Raw genomic sequence first — 24,328 nt, 5'->3', positions numbered from 1 at the left:
ATTTTGCTTATGTATCTGTGTTTATGTGTGGAGTCACCACACAAAATATGTTTCCTCCTGTGGATTGTGGAACAAAATGTTTGAAACCCTAGATTTAGGTCCACATCATTTCTCACTTGGACTGCTTAAAACCCGGAATGCTTATTCTTGGCACAGTAAGAAGCCAAACACTTTACAATGGCCTAACGACCCAGCATAATCTTATGCCTCCTTCCTCTCCGACCACATCTTCATCTCTCATCCTCCTCCCTCATGCTCCAGTCACACTGCCTCCTTTTCACTGAACACACCAGTCTCCCCACCTCCAGGACTCTGTACTTGCTATTTCCTCTGCACAGATTGTTCTTCACAATACTTGCAGATGCCTCCTGCCTGGTCTTAGCACAAGTGCCATCTCCACAAAGTGACCTGTTTAAACTGTCCCCAATTTCCATTTTCTTCTATTTATTTCATGTTACTTCTTATTATCTGGAATTGTATTATGTTTATTTCTTTTTTCAGACTTCTTTACTGCCCATCTCTCTTTGCTAGAATATTTAAGTTCTAAGAGAGCTAAGTCTTCCTTGTCTGCCTCCTTCACTGATAAATATTCAGAGCCTAAAATAAAGCCTGGTACATAATGCATACTGAATAAATATTTACTTTTTCTTTTTTATTATTGTATCAATTTTTTTTATTGACTTCCTGACTGGTCACTTACTAAATGTGAAACACTATGCCAGACTTAGGAGTTGAAGATGAAAGACACACTCTACACAGAATCACTTGATTTGCTTTCCCTTGTTCCTTATCTCTGTCTTAGTCCGTTTGGGCTGCTATCACAAACTGTCATCAAGTGGGTGCTCATAAATTATAGAAATAAGTAACAGAAATTTTTTGCAGTTCTGGAGGTTGACAAGTCCAACATCAAACCTCCAGCCAATCTGTTGTCTGAGGACTCACTTCCTGGTTCACAGACAGCTGTCTTCTCACTGTAACCTCACAGGGCAGAGGGGTCAGGGATCTCTCTAAGGTCTCTAAGGGCACTAATCCCATTCATGAGCACTCCATCCTCCTGACCTAATCACCTCCCCAAAGCCCTGCCTCTTAATATCATTACCTTGAAGGTTAGAATTTCAATATATGAATTTGGGGGGGATACAAACATTCAGTTAATTGCAACCTCTATTCCCTTCCAGACTCTAAGCTCCCTGTGGGCAAAGACCCTGACAGTTTTGTTCACCGTTTATTCCCTTTCCCTTGCATGGTGCCTAGAGTGTTAATTTTTTTTTTAAGTGAATGAGATCTTGAATTTGTGGTGGCCCCAATACACAGAGTTGAATAATGTTCCAGCAGGTCTCTGTTACCTGGGTTAAGCATAGAAAATGTAAACATTTGGTTTGATCTAGGGTAAGGATATTTAGGAGTTGAAGCTAATGGCTAGAAAGTCATGAAAGGGGTAGACAATAGAATGTAGACTTCTGGCTTTACTTTTTAAATAAACAGCTTAGATTCCTTTTTTAAAAAATAATGGTTCAGCCAGGTGCGGTTGCTCATGCCTGTAATCCCAGCACTTTGGGAGGCCAACGCAGGTGGATCACCTGAGGTCAGGAGTTCAACACCAGCCTGGCCAACATGGTGAAACCCTGTCTCTACCAAAAATACAAAAATTAGTCGAGCATGGTGGTGGACGCCTGTAATCCCAGTTACTCGGGAGGCTGAGGCAGGAGAATCACTTGAAACTGGGAGGCAGAGGCTGCAGGGAGCCAAGATCATGCCACTGTACTCCAGCCTGGGCGACAGAGTAAGACTCCGTTTAAAAAAAAAAGAAAAAGAAAAAGAAAAATAATGGTTCAAAGTCATATGTTTTCATTTAGAGTAGTAATTTTTAAAGAAAAAAATTACAGTACTATTACATCTATTTTCTCACTCCATTCTTTAGAATATAAATCCTAATTAGTATTTAGTTTTGCTTATTACAAAGCTAAGGAATCATCTACATTTTTCCCTACAGCATGCACACGTCTTACTTTCCTTCATGATATGGTGCCTTAGAACAGGGGTTCCCAAACACCAGGCCAAGTTTGTGGCCTGTTAGGAACTGGACCACACAACAGGAGATGAGCGGTGGGCTAATGAGCATTACCGCTTGAGCTCCGCCTCCTGTCAGATCAGCAGGGCATTAGATTCTCATGGGAGCGCCAACCCTACTGTGAACTGCGCATGCGAGGGATCTAGGCTGCATGCTTCTTGTGAGAATCTAACTAATGCCTGATGATCTGAGGTGGAACAGTTTCATCCTGAAACCATCCTCCCTACTACCCTGTCACATGGAAAAATTGTCTTCCATGAAATTGGTCCCTGGTGCCAAAAAAGGTTGGGAACTGCCACCTCAGAGAGTCAATTGTAAAAATCAGGAATGGATCTACTATAGATAATTATCACCAATCAGCTAAAGATCAATAATGTTGCAGGAAACAAGTATACCAGCAAAGTCACAGACAATAAACATTGTCATAATAATGTCCCCATCTGATTTCATCCTGGCCTTGACTCTCCACAAAGCCCATCAAATAATCCCAGCAGTGTACATATAGAGTCACAAAGAACACAGAAATCTTATAGAAAGTCCTGATCTCACAGCAAGTCCTAACACTGAGTCAATCAAGGTAAATGACCCATTAGTGATGGACTGGCTTCTCAAGATAGAGGATTCAGATTGGTTTTGGTGAGAGGGGACTAAATAACTTACCATTTACATTTCTGTTAATCATCTATTTTCCTTTCTGATGATTATATTTAATTGTGGGAAACAAAATGAGTTCTATATTTAGATACTATGATGAAAATGTTTACATCTTTTAAATGTTAACACTAGGAAGAATATGACAAAATTCAACTTGGCTGCAAGTACAGTGGGAAAGTACATCATTAAAACTTTATCTATTTCCCCTAAGAATGTTGAAGCATTCAGCAAATATTTATAGTTAGCCTTTTTGGCTAGGTTCATTGATTGCAACTGATACTGTCTCCTCTTACAAGTGAGGCAGATGGAGTCATAAACAAGTGGCCTCATTCAAGAGCATACAGTCACAATCAAAATTGAAATTTAGACCACCTCCAAAAACTTACACACTTGAAACTAGTATTCTGGAATTGCTGTCTGATAGGAATTTGCTCATACCCTACCATACCCTGGGCTACATGTCCCTAACCTTGATTCTAATTACCGTGTTTTCTTTGTTGTTGTTGTTTTTTGAGATGCAGTCTCACTCTGTTGCCCAGGCTGGAATGCAGTGGTGTGATCTCGGCTCACTGCAACCTCTGCCTCCCGGGTTCAAGCAATTCTCCTGCCTCAGCCTCCCGAATAGCTGGGATTCCAAGTACACACTGCCACACCCGGCTAATTTCTTGTGTTTTAGTAGAGACAGGGTTTCCACCTTGTTGCCCAGGCTGGTCGCAAACTCCTGAGCTCAGGCAATCTGCCCACCTCAGCCTCCCAAAGTGCTGGGATTACAGGCATGAGCCACCGTGCCCAGCCCATAATTACTGAATGATGGAATCTGAAAGAAAAGTGGCCTTTAATTCAACCAGTTCAACTCCTCACTTTCCAGATCAAAAAACAAAAGCCAGTAAGGTGAAAGCACTTGCCTAAAATGCTTACTAGAAGGTATTAGGGCCAGAACTGGAATCCAGGTTTCTGGAGTCCCAGATGAAAAGACTTTCTATGGTGTTATTCAAAATATCAAAGTCTGTTCTAAAGCCTGTAGTGGGCTCTGCACCCACTAGTTGCCCCATTCAATGGGGGTGGGGGGAACTAATTTCTTTGACCTCTCAGCTAAGAGAAAACACAGCAGCTTGGCCGTGGCCCCGCTTATACAGGACAGGAGGTTCTGAGATCCAGCTTGCCAGTCAAGAATGAGTTTATTTATCCTGGTTGTTCCAGGAATTCATGTGACAATTTAACAAGTAAGTACTCAATAAATGTTAAAATAATTTAATGAGGCTTTTTTCTCTCAACTCTTATCTGAACATTTTTGTTTAATTTTTAGTGAAAAAAATAAGAACCAATTCCTTTACTATATGGTCTTGAGGATGAATAGAATGCAGATCAGAAAGAAAGGGCCTCTAGGCCACATCACAGCCAACGTTTAAGTGCCTGGAGCTGGATGAGCATGGGGGCGGCAGTGGCACCCTTCTGGGAGAACTTTCAGGGGTACCATGAGGTTGGATAGGGTAGGGCTATAGCTATCATCGAGAACCTTAGATCTGGCTTAAGGAATTTAGACTTGGGAGTGGAGTACTGGAAGTTTTGAGCAGGACTGTGACAAAAATTTCAGATGTATTCTAAATGATGATTCCATCGGTAGCATGTATGATGGAGGTGACAGTGTGGAGTTGAAGACCAATTAAAAGACTGCATGGGGCCAGGCGCAGTGGCTCACGCCTGTAATCCCAGCATTTTGGGAGGCCAAGGTCAGCAGATCACTTGAGGGCAGGAGTTTGAGACCAGACTGGCCAACATGGCGAAGCCCCATCTCTACTAAAAATAACAAAAATTAGCCGGGTGCGGTGGCACGCACCTGTAGTTCCAGCTACTTGTTGGCTGAGGCAGGAGAATCGCATGAACCCAGGAAGTGGAGATTGCAGTGAGCTGAGACTGCGCCAGTGCACTCCAGCCTGGGAGACGGAGTAAGACCCTGACTCAAAAAACAAAAACAAACAAAAAAATGGCATGGTTGTCCAAGAGAGAATGTTTCAAAGTGCCTCTCCATTTCCCCTCTGAATTCATAAACTGAAACTGGGAGCCTAAGACAGTCCCTGCAGCCTCCACCCCTGCTCCAGGATCCACAGCTGCTTCTGCTCCACCCTTTGAGCTTCTGCCCTTTCTTGCACCATCCAAAGACCACCTCACGCAGGGAACCAATCCCACTGCAAGGCTGGGGTCTCCCCACTCCACAGTAGCCTCTAGCTAGTGGACTTCAGAGAAGGGCCTTATTCTTTAGGCCTCTTACTATCATCTCTAGACCTTTCTCAAGCTCCTTGACTTGACAGGGCTGAGCTGACCCTATGGGGAACAATGAATCATGGGGTCAGCTCATTGGAACCTGAAAGGGTGTTGAGGAAACCATGGGTCAGTGACCAGTCAGGAACCTGAAATATCCAGATACAAGGGGTCAAGGCAAGACATTGTGTCAGAAATCCGAAAAGTCATGAAAACCACAACAGTGTGGTACTTGGACAGAGCTTTTTCTTTCTTCCAGATGCTCTCTGGGAGAAACTCTGCACAACACTGGCATTATGTTAAAAGTCTGTCACAGGCTCCACCACTCTTCCAATTACTATGCCTTCTCTTTTATCATTCATGGCAAATGACTGCAGCTCCCCACATTCTGACATCACAACCCAGTGGCATCTGTCCCCTCTCCATTCCACAGCCTTATTCCTGAGTTTCCTGAGTTAGGTTGTTTTTCTAAATCCCTTTACCTCTCTCTCTGATATTTATCAGGTCAGACCCTTTATTTATCTTCCTTGTCCCATGCCAGCCATCAGACTTAACTACATTGCAGGTCCTTGGCCAGTTTCTCCATCACTAAACCTCTTCTGTACTCTCATTCATCTAATTTGACACTGAGAATCTTCCTTGAATGTCATTTAAATCATATTATTAAGCCTTCAAAGCTACACTTGTTCCTTCCTGATTGCCTCGTTTCAAACTAAAGCTCTTACTAATAGGATGGGAGAGTTGGAAGGAACATCAGAGATTATTTTACAGATAACAAAACTAAGACTCAGATTAAGATGCTTCTTCATGGTTACTGTAGGATTTTAGGCACCTCACTCTTTCCAAATTGCTCTAATTGACAATTCAAACAAAATTCTACCCTCTTGTGCCTCATCCATTCATACATCCTTTCTGTCCACAACAGTGTACTTTATACATGTATATACACCCACCTACATACATATAGAGAAGCATATATAATGAATATGTACGTATTCAACACAGAAAAGTCACAAAACTTTTTTTTTTTTTCCTTAGAGACAGGGTCTTGCTATGTAGCTCAGGCTGAACTGAAACTCCTGGGCTCAAGTTGTCCTCCCACCTCAGCCTCCCCAAGTAACAGGGCTACCATACCTGGTTCTGAGAAAAGTTGTAACTTCTTATACTCTTGATACCATGTATAGGAATTTTACTATATTCATTTTTTCCCTGATAGGTTCCTGTCACCCAAAATGCAATGTATATATACATAACATTTTCTTATTTTTTCTGTTCTCTGAAGTCCCTTCCTCTTTCCTTGGTGTCATTCTTTCCAAATATCCACCTTTCCATCTTTTATCCTCAACAGAAATACAGCCAATCATCCAGCCTATCATCCCTATTGCCTTTCCTTTTCTGTACAAGTCCCTTTCAAAAGTTCTCCACAGGTAATTTCTGCTGGTATAATCCATGATCTGGTAAGATGACAAGACTAGATATGGTAATTGAATTTAGCTGGAGGTAGATGAAAAGAGAAAGGGACTAGGCAGCAATGGCAGGGAGGATCTAGGAGCACTGTGCCAAAAATGACAATGGGCACAGCTACTCAAGCAGAGGGTGGTGTGCACCACCCTTAGATGAAGAGTCCAATTTTTTGGGGGGGAGGCATCTAGGAACGTCTGTCAGAAGACCAGTTACTAGCATAGGGAACAGTTACAAATTTGTCAAATCACTTATTTTATGCATGCTGAAGGACCATCAAAAGGGAACGAAAGCAGTAAGCAGACTTTTAGAAAAAGACTAGATAGAAGAACAAAACATGGATCATGTCTGAAACAGCCTGAGGTGTGGCAGAGACCCCATTTACACTTGCTTCAAGTAGCTCTGAATACTTGTAATATCACCTGTGGCCTATCTCCACTGACAGCTGTGACTGCTATTTTCATTCTGAAATTCAGCTGTTCCTTTGCCAGTCTGGACACAACATTTTAGGCATGTTCTGAAGCATGACTCATGGTACTCTCCATAGGCAAACCTCTTCAGTATTCAATTAGTGCTCTGCTTCCTGACCTACTGGATATTCTCAGACCAAGATGCAGGATTTAAGACCACAGGCAATTTGAGAAGGTAGGAATTCCAGCCAAGACATTCAGCAAAAAGCACTAGAGACCACATAAGAGGCCTAGGGACAAAGGCAAGGAGATTAAAAACACAACTGCCAAAGTTTTACTTAATCTAAAAGAACAAATCGATTAGACAGCACCATTCCTTTCATTAACAAGCATGACTAAAATGGTTGCAACTCCTGCTGGTTTGCTACCAAGCTGTGACCTCAGTGGGGAGAAAGGGAGGGAAGGAAATAAGCAAGCTCTACAAGCATCCTGAGGAATAAAAATTTACCTTTAGGATTAAGGTGCTAGAAGAGATTATTTGATTTGCAGAACATAATTTTATCATTAATCTATTCATTAATTACTATTAAAGTATACACCTTGCAGACAAACTTTTGCACTAAATAATTGTGATTTTATTGTTTTTTTCCACAAAATACAAAGCTTTGCACCACATTGTGGTAGTGTTCTAGCACAAGAAAATCCCAAGGTTTTCATGGAGGGGAGGGGGAGAAGGGTAATTTACAGGGTGTTCATTTTATCATTCTTGAAATGTTAACTAAAAATTTCAGGACAAAATATGTCAACCTTGTATAACATGCAGATTATTGCTTAGAACTTGCATATACTTTAAAATGGCACACATAAAGTATACAAACATTTCAAAATTTTAATGGAAATAACTTAGACATTTATTATCCCTCCAAATAAAACAACCAGGAAACAAAATAAAGAATGCCAAGTTGCTATTTTAAGTACTGATAAGTCCTAGTAACACTGATTCATACATTATCTAGTCTTACATTTTGTAAATAAAAGTTCTTCAGCCTTATGGAAATAAATTAGAAGGTATGTTCTCAAAATGGTATTAAGTATATTTTGAAAGACTTCCAAAAATCTTTGACAATTATATATTATACATTCTCAGAAAAAAGTATATATCTATGTATCTATATATATCACTATAGTTCTATTTACTGCTTTCCAAGTAGCTTTTTCAAATAAAATCTAAAAGTCATTATTATTACAAATTCTAATACCAAAAAATCTCATAACTTATCCTATTTACAAGTTAGTGAGAGTATTATCTACACAAAATTCCTTAAATAAAAAGTAGACATAGTCATACCAGAAACAAACCAAGCAGGAAACAGAAAAACACAGAGCACATTCTATATACAGCTATACCTTTAGGCTTGTTAAGTAGCAAATAACCCTAATGTACACTTAATTACAGAAATAATTACATAAAGATATAAAGAAAAAATATCCAAAGATGTTTAACGAGTTTTCAGCCAGAGGTACTGTACTTATAAATCTTTGAGATTTAGAAATATTTCTGGTTTTGGTCTTATGTATAGGGCCTGATATCAAAATGGTCCACTGCTTAGAGTGAATAAGTGTAAACATTTTCAAAGCAAACAAACCAATCTTTAGGAGCTGCTTTCAATTCTTCACTGCTATCCAAAATATATTCCAATAAAGGTATGAATTATTATCAAAACTAGAGGCTGGCCTAGTCTGGCCTAGAAACGGGTAAGGTTCAAGCCTTGGATGTTGTACTTTGGAAAACACCAAGTAACGCAGTTGCTGGTAAATTTGTTTTCAAAGAAACATTACCATAGCAAAGTTTTCCCTAAAGAGCAGGACTCTAAAATAATTTTGGCACAAGCCAGCATCCACCCTCTCATAACACAGAGTTATCTCAGTTCCTCTGTGCTCCTGTCATGGGGTCTAAAAAGAACATTTAGATAATTTACAAGCCTATAATAAATCTTCAGCTGAAACACATTACAAAGCTCTGACTGTTAAACCAGTTTAAGAAAAACAGAGATGACAGATCTCTTAATAAAACCATAACATTATTAGCTTTGCCTCATGTTGTAAACAGTTATTATTAAATGCTGAATGGCTTCCTGTAGTCTCTTAATAAGTCATGATTTGTCTGAGCTCCACTTTAAACTTTACTACAATGCTTTTTTTCAATGAGAGAACCTATTTGTAAACTTTTAAATTTGCCATAAGAGACTGGGAAGCTTATAGATACATGGGGAGGTCTCAAAAGTTGACAGCGAAAGGTGTTAGCATAAAAGAGGGAGATGCTGATGAAGTCATCTGGTGTACCAGGAGGAAGAGATGGAAGGATTCAAAGAGAATACTTCTAGATCAAGGGAGGACTATCACGGCGTTTAAGGGAAAAGCACTCTCAATGCCTCCTCTAACTCCAGATCCTCTAGCTTTTCATTGTTCCTACACACCTCACATGTGTTTTGCATCAGAACTCACTTTCAGTAGCTTTAATGTATTTCAATGAGCTGTGTTTAAGGTTGGGAAGATATATGTGCATCCAGAGACACATGAAGGGTCTCGCTGTATGCTGGCTCGCACCTGAGAAACACTGTGCTACTCTTGATAAAATTATCTAAGTTCAACTTCTTATGGAATCCAAACACATAAAAATACATAAACCTTTATGAAGTATTATTGATGATGTCAATACATGAACTTTTCCATTTCAGCTAATAGACTAAACCACCTAAAGCTATTCAAATGCACATTTATTTAAATGTTTGGAATTAAGAGCAACCTAGAAACAGAAAACGTGTTCAAATATTTATTTTAACAGCATCTTTTGGAACATGTTTATTTCCCTTAAAAACGACACAGAGGAAACATGTACACTGTAACAACACCTTCCCCTCTGTTTCTCCAGAAGAAAAATGTTTCTGCATGCCTGATAACAGATGGTGCAACCAACAGTAAACCTGGCTCTCTACACCAGTGAAGAACCATTCTCCAAATGCCCAGTGTGCCTCAGAGGAAATATACAATTTAAAAGTTGACCCTGTAGCAAAAATTTTGAGTCAAATTATTAAAATTTAGAAAAGAACTGGATTCAAATACTTACAAACTAGGCAGTTTTTAAAACTAGACCTTTAAGACCGTCCTGGGTCATCCATAATATATCAGAGTCACTCTTAGGGGTGGTAACAACATAAATAGTATTTCACTTAACGTAAGGCTAGTCCATGAAATAATAAAATCAAACAGTTGGGATAAAAATTTAATTCAATTTACTGTAGGGTATCAACACATATTTGAGCAGAAGTCAATTTCTTTGCACTCATATATAACTTCATTTCCAGTTTTACATAAATGCAAATAATCCTTTAAAAGATTTTAGACATAAGAAGGCAAACTTTATAAGTTATAGCTCATAATTTTCAAATTTTCACAAATAAAAATTTAATGCAGGATCTATGATCTTGCATGCTATTAGTTGGTTTTCATTCATTTTTTAAGTTTCACAAGAACTTTTATTTTCTAGGATACTACACATTCAAAAAACATCTTTATAATTACAGGTTATCTTTTTTCTACAAAAATAGAATTGCTCAAAAATTTATATCAATTTGCTTTTATTTTTCTATAAATATTTTAATAGAGTTGTTAAATATCAGAATGCCTGATAGAATCATTTAAATTAATCCGTGTAGTCAAAATACTTAATATTTAAAATGTCTAGCAAACGTTTTTCATTTAATAAATGAAAAATTCATCGTGCAGTAAATGATATGTTCTGTCTTCATTTGTATTTTAGGTAGGTGAATACAATCATAGAACAGCAAAGTGTACCTCCTGCAAAGGTCAGACTTAAAAGTAGCAGGGCAGTTTCTAGTGGCATTTCCATTCCATGTCTGTTGTATGAGGAAATATATAGAACCTACTTCAGGATATTTAATCTGGATGTTGAATTAACTCATGCAGCCAGCATAAGATAAGGATTGCTGAATAAGAGAATCACAAACTTTAGTTCAAAATTTTGATGTTTTAAATATACTTATTTAGTGAGTGGCTATACCAGTGAAGGGTAACATTAATGAAAGTAAGAATGAAGTTTTAAGCATGAAACAGTAACTATAAAAACAAACTGCTACATGGAGACTCACTAATATAGCTTTATATTGTTTTCATTTTGATAGTGGGTTTAAAATCTGTGTTCAGAACTATAGAAATATCCAGAGTCAAAAAATATTTATCTCAAGGTCTCTTTCTAAAAGAATGAATTTCCAAAATAGTTTTATTATATAAATTTTTTTAAAGCCACTTTTCCTGCAAAAAGGTAAGAACAAGATAAAACCGCTTGCTTTCCTACCCCCCTCTAGTTAACCAGTACATATTTAAGCACCTATGATGTGGACAGCACTAAATTTAGCAACAAATTATCAGTGTAATATTAGCTGCTTTAAAAATAACTATTATTTTACATTAATTCTTTCAAAAATAAATGTACCTAGTATAAGCCAATCAATCTCATTTTATCATTTAGTTACTGACTGAGATTTCAATCTTCTTTAAATGTTCTAAAACTTATCAGGCTCTATCTGCATTGAATAATAAAAGCAAATCAAATCAAAAGTCTTGATTATATTCAGCTAGCATGAACAATGAAAGTGAGTCAAACGTTCTCCTTCAAACTGAGAAACTGGATTACATCTTTTGGTATGAGTTCAATTAATTTCAAGTATTCATCACTGGTAGAATTAAATTTCTTCCTTTCTCAGGTAAGAATAATCATTAAACTCAAGTGCTTAAAGAATAAAGGCAATAATAGATAAATATATAATTCTATATTTGGATTGCAAGAATTAAAGTAAAAGCAAAACACATACACACACAACCAGAGTCGCCAGTCATTTATCTTCATATAATCAGACAATAATTTTGATGATAGAATACTTGGATTAAATTACCTTTTTTTTTCTGTGCTTTAAGATAGAAATTCAAAGCACTAAAATGCCAACTAAGTAAGCACGGGTATGAATTGTGAGTAAAATATGAATACTGATATTTTTGTAATAGTTTGGGTCTCATCAAGAAGAGGCCTATTTCAGGAGCATAATAAATACATATTGCATAAGACTTTGGTACTGATGGTGCTGGGTTCAGAACTCAGGGAAGATTTTGCAAACAGAAAATATTTTTCACAGAAAAAGTGCAAGGAAAGCAGATAGGGATAAACAGTGTTAAAACTTTCTTTCTTAATGATTCCTCCGATTAGCCTAAATAGTCCTCTATCAACATGCATTTTTAGAAGAAGAAACTCATCTCTTAAGGAGGTCTATAATCTGTCTTAAGCCTTATTATAAAATAAAAAAGCAATAATTTGATAAAATGCTAAAATAGAAATGACAGTGATATTTGAAAAAATCTTAAAATGTGGGAAGTATTCTCCATGACTAAACTAATTAAATATTCCCAAAGTGGTAAAATATTTCATCATTAATAGGTGATTGCATGTCTGAAATGAAAAATGTTGTTACTTCTGAATAGCCTGAGAAAAAGAACATGCCAACAATTTAGAAATTAAACCCTACACAAGTGTTGACAGCCATAGTAAGAAAAGAGTGCATACAACAAATGTTAAGAGCTATTTACAGATTTAAAAGCAGTTCCCATTCTTGCAGCAAAATTGGTGACATAAAACCATTTGTACCAGATTATCATAGTCATCTTTCACAGAGAAAAAATACCAATGCAGTTAAGAGATTTCTCAAAAGATTCACCATTATATTGATCATTTTTATTTAAACCTTTAAGATTTTTATCCATGCTTGTAAATAAGGCAAAAGAAAGGCAGAAAAGACATCTTGGGATGAAAACTAAATTTTAATTTTAGTTTCTCTCTTTTTTTTTTTTTTGAGACAGAGTCTTGCTCTGTCGCCCAGGCTGGAGTGCAGTGGCACAATATCAGCTCACTGCAACCTCCGTCTCTCGGGTTCAAGCGATTCTCCTGCCTCAGCCTCCCGAGTAGCTGGGATTACAGGCGCCAACCACCACGCCCAGCTACTTTTTTTTGTATTTTTAGTAGAGATGAGGTTTCACCATGTTGGCCAAGCTAGTCTCGAACTCCTGACCTCAGTGATCGACCCACCTTGGCCTCCCAAAGTGCTGGGATTACAGGCATGAGCCACCGTGCCCGGCCTTCTCTTTTCTAAGGTTTAAAAAAAATGACACTGAAATCCTGAATAACAATTATAATTAAGAAAGGTACACAAGAACATGCCAAGAATTCATCCTATCAGCAGATATGCTGGGTAGTAATGAAGTTTGCTTATCGGTAGCACTCTTTTAATCAAGTTTTCCATTCTGAAGACTATTTTTGGCTTTCTCTTGTCTGATGTGAGAGATGACTTTGATGCAACCTTTTGAAATTTTGATCATCCACATGACATTCATCACATCCAAAACAACACAACTAATGACCCAGGATAACTGGATTAAAACTCCAAGCCTTATGTAGGGTTCTGTTCCATACACGGAATACATGAAGCCATAATGAGGAAGCATTGAGGCAATCCGCACGATGAAGAATACTACTGTCATGAGTATTCCATTGATAACGATAGCTTTAGAAAACTTGGGATACTTCAGAGCTTCAAAGAACCACCTGAAAAATGAATTAAAGAAACATCACATTTATAGTGCATCTCTGAGGATTAACCATTTTTATTTTAGTTTTTAAATTTTAAAATTCAGTGAAGGAGGAGCAAAGGGCCTAGAATAGCATACGCAATGCTGAAAAAGAACAAAGTTGGAGGACTCACACTACCCATTTCCAAGACTTAACTATAAAGCGACAGTAATCAAGTCAGCATGGTGTTAGTGAAAGATCAATAAACCAATGGAAGAGAAAAGAGAGCTCAGAAATAGACCCACACAAATATACTCAACTGATTTGTGACAAAAGCATAAAGGTAATTCAGTGGAGAAAAAAAGTCTTTTCAACAAGGTGTGCAAAATTGTATATCAACATCGAGAAAAATGAAGTTAAGCAGAGATCTCACACCTTACACAAAAATTAACTCAAAATGGATCATAGACCTAAATGTAAAATGCAAAACTATAAAACTTCCATAAGAAAAAAGGAAAAAAACCTGTATGATCTTGCATCTGGTGGTGCTATTTTAGATACAACACCAAAAGTGTCATCCATGGAAGAAAAAGTTAGTTAAGTTGGACTTCGTTAAAATTAAAACTTGCTCTGCGAAAGACACTGTTAAAGAAAAGACAACCACACACTAGGAAAAAATATTTAAAATATACATGTATGGTAAAGTACATGTATACAAAGTACACAAAGAATTCTTAAAAGTCAACAATAAGAAAACAACCCAATTAAAACACTGGTAAAAGAGCATAACAAAAACCTCATCAGAAAATATATATAGATGAAAACTAAGCATATAAAAAGATGTTCACTATTGTCATTAGGAAGTGCAAATTGCAGTGGCTCACGCCTGTAATCCCAGCACTTTGGGAGGCTGAGGCAGGTGGATCACCTGAGGTCAGGGGTTTGAAACCAGCCTGGCCAGCCAGGCGCAGTGGCTCACCCCTGTAATCCCAGCACTTTGGGAGGCTGAGGAGCGTGGATCATCAGGTCAGGAGTTCAAGACCAGCCTGGCCAAGATAGTGAAACCCCGTCTCTACTAAAAATACAAAAATTAGCCAGGCATGGCGGCGGGCACCTGTAATCCCAGCTACTCAGAGGCTGAGGCAGAGAATTGCTTGAACCCAGGAGGCAGAGGTTGCAATGAGCCGAGATCACACCACCACACTCCAGCCTGGGCGACAGAGCAAGATTCCATCTCAAAAAAGAAAAGAAAAGAAAAGAAAAGAAACCAATGTGGCCAAAATGGCGAAACCCCATCTCTACTAAAAATACAAAATTATCTGGGTGTGGTGGCGCATTCTTGTAATCCCAGCTACTTGGGAGGCTGAGGCAGGAGAATCTCTTGAACCTGGGAGGCAGAGGTTGCAGTGAGCCGAAATCGTGCTATTGCACTCCAGCCTAGGCAACAAGAGTGAGACTCTGTCTCAAAAAAAAAGAAAAAAAAAAAAAAGAAAGTGCAAATTTTAGCAACAAGATACTATGCACACCTATTAAAATAGCTAAAATCCCAAAAAATGGACAATAACAATTGCTGGCAAGGGTGTGGAACAAGAGGAACACACATTCATTGCTGCTAGGAATGCAAAATGGTACAACCACTTTAGAAGACAGTTTAGCAGGCATAAAACTAAACATATTCATAGCACACAAACCAGCAATCACATTCCTAGGTATTTTTCCAACTGATTAAAAAATGTATGTCCACACAAAAGCTGCATACGTGTTTACACCAGCTTTATTCATAACTGCCAACAACTACAAGCCATCAAGATGGACAAACATTGTAGTACATCCATACATTGGAATACTACTTAGCAATAAAAATAAACTATCAATGTAACAGCAAGAATGAATCTAAAGTGCTAAGTAAATGAAATCAGTCTGAAAATCCTGTACACTGTATGATTCCATTTATAGACATTCTAGAAAAAGCAAAAGTATCAAGACAGAAAACAGAATAGTGGTTACCAGAGTTTCGGAAAGAGTGGAAGGGGATTGAGTAGGTAAAACAAGGGATATTTTAGGGTGGTGAAACTGTTCTGCATAATACTATAGTGGTGGATACATGACATTATGCACTTATCAAAACCCACAGAAGTGCACAAAAAGTGAACCTGATGTATGCAAAATTTTAAACAATCAATTAGGAGGTTGGGGGATACCAGGATGCAATGCAAACAGTGACAAAAGAATCTTAACTGTTACAAATGCATGATATAACATCCCTGAAAGGAGTAAGGTAGAAAGAGGTGCTGACCTAAGTGACTTCAAAGATGGAGACTATAAGACAAAGGCAAAAGAAACTGTATACAGGCAATGTACTCTAGTTCACGCAAAAACAATTAACAATTCTGAAACCATTATACATGTATATCAGGACTGAACAAATAAATGGATTTGTTTGATGAAAAATAGTGGGAACCAGGTTTCTCATTGTTGGATAGAAAGGTTTCAGACAAGCAAGAGGCGGCTAGATTTTTTCCATGAGATACTGGATTAGATTTGGAAACAGTGAACTATTTTAGCTTGATATAGCTATAAATGCATACATACAGAAATAATTATAGATAGGTGTATACACACAGGTCAGCATATTTCCAGGTTCTGTCAGCTAGGAGCCCATAGAAACAATGATGCCTCAGTAACAATGAGCATACATGGCATCCACGTGTTGGCTTCTAATACCACTCTCCAATGAAAGAAACTAGGGTTCCTTGAGAAATACCTGATTTGAGGGCTGGGAACAGAGAATACACAATATACAATATGAACCTGTTAGAGTATCATTTAGGGCCAGAGAGCAAGAAAGTGCTCAAAAAACAAAATGACGTTTCTTTATGTCAAAGGAACACAGAAACCAACCAAATGAGCTCTCCAGGTCCAAAACTCACAATGTGAGCAACAAAATAAATAATGTTGTATTGGATTATAACCTAAAGTATAAAATAAATATCCAGAAATCAATACTGATATAAATGAATGAATGAATGAATAGGGGAGAAGAAACAAATCTGTTCCGAATAACTGCAAATAATTTATGTAGAAATCACACCTTCAACAAGGTAAAGCATAAACCCCTAGTCCTCAAGTGTGGGCTGTGTATAGTGTAATGTATTGAACTGTTTCCCACTAAATTCTTTTTTTTTTTTTTTTTTTTCTGAGACGGAGTCTCGCTCTGTCGCCCAGGCTGGAGTACAGTGGCGCGATCTTGGCTCACTGCAAGCTCCGCCTCCCGGGATCACGCCATTCTCCTGCCTCAGCCTCCCGAGTAGCTGGGACTACAGGCGCCCGCCACCATGCCCGGCTAATTTTTTGTATTTTGTAGTAGAGACGGGGTTTCACCGTGTTAGCCAGGATGGTCTTGATCTCCTGACCTTGTGATCCACCCGCCTCGGCCTCCCAAAGTGCTGGGATTACAGGCGTGAGCTACCGCGCCCGGCTAAATTCTTATGTTGAAGCCCTAAAGCCCCAAAGTGACTGTATTTCAAGATAGGTCCTTTAAGAAGGCAATTAAGGTTAAATAAAGTAACAAGGGTCAGGCTCCAATCCAATAGGACCAGTGCCCTTAAAAGAAAGGAGAGACCAAAGTTCTCCCTCTTCCTCCATGCACACACGGAGAAGAGGCCATGTGAGGACACAGAGAGAAGTTGCCTCCTGCAAGAAGAGGAGAGGCGCCTCACCAAGAACCAACCCTGCAGGCACCTTGGTCTTGGACATCCGGCTTCCAGCACTGTGCAAAAACACATTTCTGTTATTTAAGCCACCCAGACTGTGGCATTTTTTATGGCAGTCCCCAACAAACTAATACACACAGTGACTTCCTTCCAAAGTGTACAGTATGGAAGGGGCAGGGGGAGGGCAGGTGTAAGGAATAACTTTAAAATGGAGAAACCGGACAAACAGTACCTCAGGTGAACAAGCTTAACATCAACAATGATTAAGTCATGTTCACAGCATGCAGTCCTAATATGTGTGATGAGAATGATACTGTCCCTCGGTGGTCTTCCTCCCCAAACCCCATATCCCCAGTGTAATCATGAGAAAAACATCAGACAAACCCAAATTGAGGGACAGTCTACAAAACACCTGATCAGTACTCCTCAAAACCGTCAAGGTCACCAGAGACAGGACATCTGAGAAACGATCACAGCCAACAGTAGCCTAAGCAGACATGAAACTAAATGTAGTGTGGCATTCTGGAAGGGATCCTGAGACAGAAAAGGGGCACTGGGCAAAAACGAAAGAAATCCACACAAAGTATGGACTTTAGTTAACAATAAGATATTAACACTGGCTCGCTAATTGTTAACAACTGCACCCACTGATCTATGACGCTAACAATAGGGGAAGCTGGGTGTGGGGTACACAGGGACCCTCTGTATCAGCCTTCTGATTTTTCTGTAAATGTAAAACTATTCTAAAGATAAAAAGGTTTTTAAAAAGTCAGTGAACATTCGCTCTATTCCACTTTTTCTTCCTTAAAAAAACTGCCTTGCCTAATTTTACATCATTTTAGAGATCAAATTGCAAAGGCAGTAAAACATATCTGTGTATCTTAATATTCAATTTAACTGAATTAGTCATGATTAAGCTAAAATTGTTCAACATAAGAAACTAAAAATTAATAGTTAAAAAGCTTGAAAATATTTTATTGAGTGATTAAAATATCAAATAATTTATATAGGATGAGAGATGTATTACATTTTATAAGTTTATGTAGGATAAAAGGGCTAAATTATCTAAGACAATTAAGAAAGACTATTTAGATAGCAATGGCTAAATTAATGAAATAATACTGCAAATAGGAAAAACATCACTAAAGCAATGACATCCACATTCTAATCCAGGTCTCTGATCCTCAAGCCTTCTCTTCTCCAAAGACTTCCCTTCTCCTTCAGCCATTCATTTCTTTGACTACATGGCAGCCTTGGAATTACTCAAGAAATATTATACCTCAGTGAACCCATTCCTCTCTAATCATAAGCCTTCCATATTTCTCTTTACCCAATCTCACCTAAACTACTTCTTTGACCTTCAAATCCTCAAATCTCTCTCTATCAGCCTCCACGCTTTCACTTCCTTTCCTACCTAATCCAAACTCCAAGTTAACTTCAGAACACACATCAGCACCCTCCGTTCTCTTGCCACTTCATCTATCTCACCCACTCTGCTGATCTCCAGTGTTTCATCAAGCCAGCTTTCCTTAGGCAATACAGAATGACGTGAAGAGTAGCTAGGGTGCTCTGCAGTCAGGCCGCCTGGGTTGAAAGCCTGGTTCTGCCATGGAGCAACTGTGTGGTCTTAGCTCTCTCTGCTATTCACCTCTATGTTTGTTCTATCTCTATAAATGGGGATAAATGATAGTACCTCCTTTGTACTATGAAGCTGCCATGACACAGAGTAACAACTCCCCCATACTGTAAATTCAATAAATATCATTACCCACCAATCTTTATTAAGATAAATGGCACAAATATAATTTTAAAAGATTTGAACTTCAGCAGAATTCTCAAACTGGCTCGACAGTCCTTTCATTTCACTCCATAGTTCCCATATAATTGCTTCCAAACCTGTCCTGCCATTCAAGTCAATTCCCTTCCTCATTCACTTTTGTCTCTCAATCCCATCAGAGCATCTGGTTTCTTACTGATATACAGTTAATTCTTGAGCAACACCAGGGTTAGGGGTGCTGACTCCCCACACAGTTGAAAATTGCTTGACTTCTGACTTGCCCAAACACCTGATTGTTGACCAGAAGCCTTACCAATAACATAAAGTCAATTAACATTATTTTATGTTATTTGCATTATATACTATATTCTTATAATAAAGCTAGAGAAAAACGTTATTTTCTAGAGAAAAGAAAATCATAAAGAAAAGAAAATATATGTACTATTAAGTGAAAGTGGATCTTTGTAAAGGTCTTCATTCTCGTCGTCTTCACGTTAACTAGCCTTGAGTAAGAGAAGGAGTTGGACTTGCTGTCGCAAAGGTGGCAGAGGTGGAAGAGGTGACGAAGTTGGAAGGAAAGGCAGGCACACTTAGTGCAAATTTTATTGAAAAAAATAGATGTGTCAGTGGACTCATACAGTTCAAACCCATGTTGTTCGGGAGTCAACTGCATTAGAGTCCATCAACCATGAATTCCTTCCACTCTGACCCCAAGATCTCAAAACTTCTTCTCAGGCACCTTTACCTTTCAACTCAGAGGAGAGTCCTCATCTTCTAGGATTTATTCAATAAACTACCCTGCCTTCCCTTGTTCTACCAAGTTCCCCTTCTATAAATTGATTCTTCTTTTACCAACGTGCTCAATTCCTGCTAATCCAAAAACCTCCCCTCCACTGCTTCTCTTCTTTGCCAGTTTTTTGAAAGGAGAGTCAGACATATTCACAGACATTCTTACTACACTCCCAAACCCAAGACGATATGACTGCAACTCTACAAAAGAAATTAGTCAGTTACATATGTGCACATGTACCCTAAAACTTAAAGTATAATTTAAAAAAAAAGAAAAAAAAAAAGAAATTGGTCACCCATAGCTTCCTCATAACCATAGTGTTAGCTTCTGCCAATTTTTCCATCTAACCAGTGCCTGGTCTTTAAACCAGTTTCTTTCAAAGGAAAGAACCCAAATATTAACTCAAGGTGAAATAATATTTACATAACTGTCCTCCTTACCTCCCTCTTCCATGGCAGAAAGATCACTTATTTTGTTGGAATCCACCTCTTCTTACCTAATTAGAACATTCTTTCATTCTAGCAAATAAAGACTAACAGTTTGTGAAGGTATGTACTGAATCTGAGAGGAAAGAGGGGAAGGGAGGAAAACATGCATGTGGGAAGGAAGGAAAGAAGAACAGCAACACTTTCTTTTACCCACCATTTACTGTTATTACTAAGACAGGCATAAAAGACAGCAAATTGTATGTATTTATTAATACAATCCTCCCTTCACTCCAGAGAGAAAATCCTAACTTTGGTCATTTAGCAATTATTCCTCCTCCTACCCTTCTAAAGGAACTTGAACCTTCCCATTAAGTTTACTGGGAGTTAATTGTGTAGAGGTATCGTACTCACTAAAAATTGTGTAAAAACTAGAAAAAGTGTAAAAACTAGGAATTATTTGCTCTAATTCACATTTACATTTGGAAAGAGGATGGAGGGCTATTTGCAGGCACAGAAAAAAAAAAAGTGAGAAAAGAGGACAGGGACAAATAATTGATCCTTGATGGCACTGGTTTGTTGAGTTTTAGAGGAGTTGAGAGTCAGAAGTTTGAGAGAGCCTTAGGAAAGCTGTGGGGTCAAGATATTGTGAGTCCAAGAGGAATGAAGAGAATTTTAAGAAGTGCTGTTGTGAGTAACAAACTGGATCTTTGTTGACATCCTTGGAAAAACTCCAATAAGGATTTGGATGCTGTACTGTTTCTGGAACTCTGTGAAGGGACTGGGCTGTAAGCTGACTCTACTTACATCTTAGTTGCAAATGTAATTTCTTCAGGCATGTAAACATTTGTATTTAATAAACATTAACCCTGGAAGGTTAGGAATTTAAGAACTGAATTTTAGACAAGTTTCCCTCCAGCTTCATATTATTTTGGTTCCCCTACTACTCCTAAATTATTCCTTCATTATATCTACTCTTCTTTCTCTGATTCTCCAATCTTGTTTTTTTGTTTTTTTTGTTTTTGTTTTTTATGTTGTTGTTTTTTGAGACAGTCTTGCTCTGTCGCCAGGCTGGAGTGCAGTGGTGCGATCTCGGCTCACTGCAATCTCCGCCTCCCAGATTCAAGCGATTCTCCTGCCTCAGCCTCCTGAGTAGCCGGGACTACGCGCCACCACACCCAGCTAATTCTTTTTTGTACTTTTAGTAGAGACGGGGTTTCACCATGTTGGCCAGAATGGTCTCGATCTCCTCCTGACCTTGTGATCTGCTCGCCTCGGCCTCCCAAAATGCTGGGATTACAGGCGTGAGCCACCACACCTGGCTGATTTTCCAGTCTTAAACATTTAACTCTAATCTTCTAAATATATCTTTTCTCACAGGTTAAAATATCACCTTATTCTGATCATCCCAACATTCCTCTCTCGAGCTCTCACTAAATTTCCACTCAGATGCTCTGTTTGTCCTCTTATCCAATATCTCCGCACTAAATTCGTCACCTTCCCTCTCAGTCTTCCTAATTCTCTGTCACTTTTGATGGGCACATTTCTCTGGGTCCAATATAGGATTTGTCTTAAACTTGTCCGTATTCTCTAATTTTTTATCCGTTCATTGCCAATTTCATTTCATTTCTTCAAAATCTCTATTTTGTCATCTCTCTAGTCCCACAGCTTAATATGGACTCTTATTTACTTTCGGAACTAATAAAATTACACTGTCCATTCACACAACTAAGAACTGGGTAACCTAACCCAAACTTTTGTCTCCAGTGTTACAATCTATCCTACAAATATCAAAAGTTATAACCACTCAGTGCTCTTTCCAGAATGTCTTTCTCCACTATAATCTCACTGTCTACTGGGTCAAGTTCAATCAGCTCTCCCAGACACTCAACATCCTCTACATCTATCCACCCTACCCCTAAGACATACTCTTTGATCCTATACTTTCTCTTTCCCATAGCATGTTTATTTCACTTTTCAAAATCCTATGTTGATTCTTTTCTTCTTGAATGAAGGCCCTTCCCTCTCCATCCACTTCTTAAAAAAAAAAGTCCTAAAACATTTTAAGAGTGTATGCCACGTTCTCTGTGAAGCCTTACGTGACAAGTATCAATCAATGATAGGTCTTAAAATGTGGTTTATGGACCCCTGAGTCCTTTTTGGGAGGTCTTCAAGATATAATTATTTTAATAATAGTATTAAAACATTATTTGCCTTTTTCATTGTGCTGACTTCTATACTGATAGTGTAAAGTGCTAGTAAATAAAACTGTTGGCATCTTAGCACAAATAAAGAAATGGTATTAGTAGCCACTGTATCCTTTCCCACCACATGCTTGCTTGCAGTTAAAAACAAAACCAGAAAAAAGAAAAGTTTCAGTTAGAAATGCCCTTAATGAAGCAGTAAGAATTATTTATTATTTTTATTAGATGACTTCTGAGTATGTGTCTTTTTAATATTCTGTATGATAAAATGGGAAGTACACATAAGGCATTTCTGCTACAAAGTAAAATGGTTTTCTTGAGGAAAAACCCTCAACTGATGGTTTAAATTGTAAGCTAAACTACCAGGTTCTTCCACAGACTGCCATTTTTACTTGAAAAAAAAAACAAAAAACAATAAACTATGATTGCTTGAGCCATCTGGCAGGCACTCTCTCAAAAATAAAAAAAAAAAGTGGGCTTGTCACATAAAGAAAAGCAACTGACAGTTTTGATACCAACAACAAAATCTGAACTTTCAAATGAAAATCAGAATATTGGAAAATTTGTTATCTGCAACTGTGAGCTTGACAGCCTCTCAATACTTAAAGACTTTTCTAATGAGATCTGCGGTGATATTTTAAATGTCATCTAATAAATGTTCAACATTTAGAAGACCTACATAACTCAGTGAGCCAATATTTTCCCAATGACCAAGACATGATGAATCAAAATTATGCATATGTAAAAGATTGAAGGCCTGCCAGGTGCGGTGGCTCACACCTGTAATCCCAGCACTTGGGGAGGCCGAGGCGGGTGGATCACGAGGTCAGGAGTTCAAGACCAGCCTGGCCAACATAGTGAAACCCAGTCTGTACTAAACATACAAAAAATTAGCCGGGCGTGGTGGCATAGTAATCCCAGCTACTCAGGGAGTAGTAGTAATCCCAGCTACTCAGGGAGGCTGAGGCAGGAGAATTGCTTGAACCTGGGAGGTGGAGGTTGCAGTGAGCCAAGATCGCACCACGGCACTCCAGCCCAGGTGACAATGCGAGACTCCATCTCAAAAAAAAAAATAAATAAATAAATAAATAAATAATTAAACAAATTTAAAACAGGTTAAAGCCCAAGAAAGGCCAATGAATTTGAATATAACAGAGTATGAAAAGTTCATTGATATGGTTTCAGATTTCACATTTACTTACCCTTTAAGAAACTACCTCTTGGTATATTTTGATGACATATTAAGGAATATCCACAATTATTAGTATTTGAAAAGGCCACTAAAATACTTTTTTTCTATTGCATAATTAACTCTGAGAGGCTAGATATTTTTCATATGCTTCAAACACTACTTATCACAACAGACTGAAAACAGAAGCCCATCTGAGAATCCAGCTGAATTCTATCATTCCAGATATTAAAGAGATTTGCAAAAATGTAAAACAATGACACTGTTCCTACTGTTTTTTTTTTTGGTTTGTTTTGGCAATGCAGTTATTTTTCATACACACACAAATATTGTGTTAACATGGAACATTACTGTTAATATTCAATGAGGTAATAATTTTTTGTTTTTTTCTGAGACAGAGTCTCACTCTATCACCCAGGCTGGAGTACAGTAGCGTGATCTCGGCTCACTGCAACCTCCACCAACTGGGTTCAAGTAATTCTACTGCCTCAGCATCCCGAGTAGTTGGGACTACAGGCATGTGCCACCACGCCCAGCTAATTTTTGTGTTTTTAGTAGAAAAAAGAAAAAATTGTATTTTATATTTTTAGGTACTATTTTCTCAAACACAGACATGAAGCCAGACGCTATATCTAAAGCTCCTTGAAGTCACAGAATGGGACATTTAGGTACTGAAGAGGTATTTAATAAATATTGAATGAACATATTAAGAAACACAGGTGCAAAGCTTTTACAAGGTAT

General features: G+C 38.1%; 2 protein-coding genes and 1 long non-coding RNA gene across 5 annotated transcripts in view; 1 reads left to right on the top strand and 2 right to left on the bottom strand.

Moving 5' to 3' along the window:
- TLCD4-RWDD3 (TLCD4-RWDD3 readthrough) overlaps positions 1–24,328 on the bottom strand; it is a 127,033-nt gene that overhangs the window by 39,881 nt on the left and 62,824 nt on the right.
- Positions 1–24,328, top strand: part of RWDD3-DT (RWDD3 divergent transcript) — a 70,764-nt gene that overhangs the window by 28,908 nt on the left and 17,528 nt on the right. The gene's annotated exons all lie outside the window — the stretch shown is intronic.
- TLCD4 (TLC domain containing 4) overlaps positions 7,468–24,328 on the bottom strand; it is a 105,091-nt gene continuing 88,230 nt past the window's right edge. For both annotated transcript variants that reach the window (NM_001199679.2, NM_152487.3), the window contains exon 7: positions 7,468–13,525. In NM_001199679.2, the coding sequence (NP_001186608.1) occupies positions 13,207–13,525 (319 nt within the window). In that variant the 3' untranslated portion in view covers positions 7,468–13,206. The remainder of the gene's footprint in view (positions 13,526–24,328) is intronic.

Source organism: Homo sapiens, chromosome 1 (assembly GCF_000001405.40).
Source record: "Homo sapiens chromosome 1, GRCh38.p14 Primary Assembly".
NCBI classification, from domain to species: Eukaryota; Metazoa; Chordata; class Mammalia; order Primates; family Hominidae; genus Homo; species Homo sapiens.
Note: the sequence above shows the minus strand (reverse complement) of the source record. Positions and strands in the feature narration are given on the sequence as shown.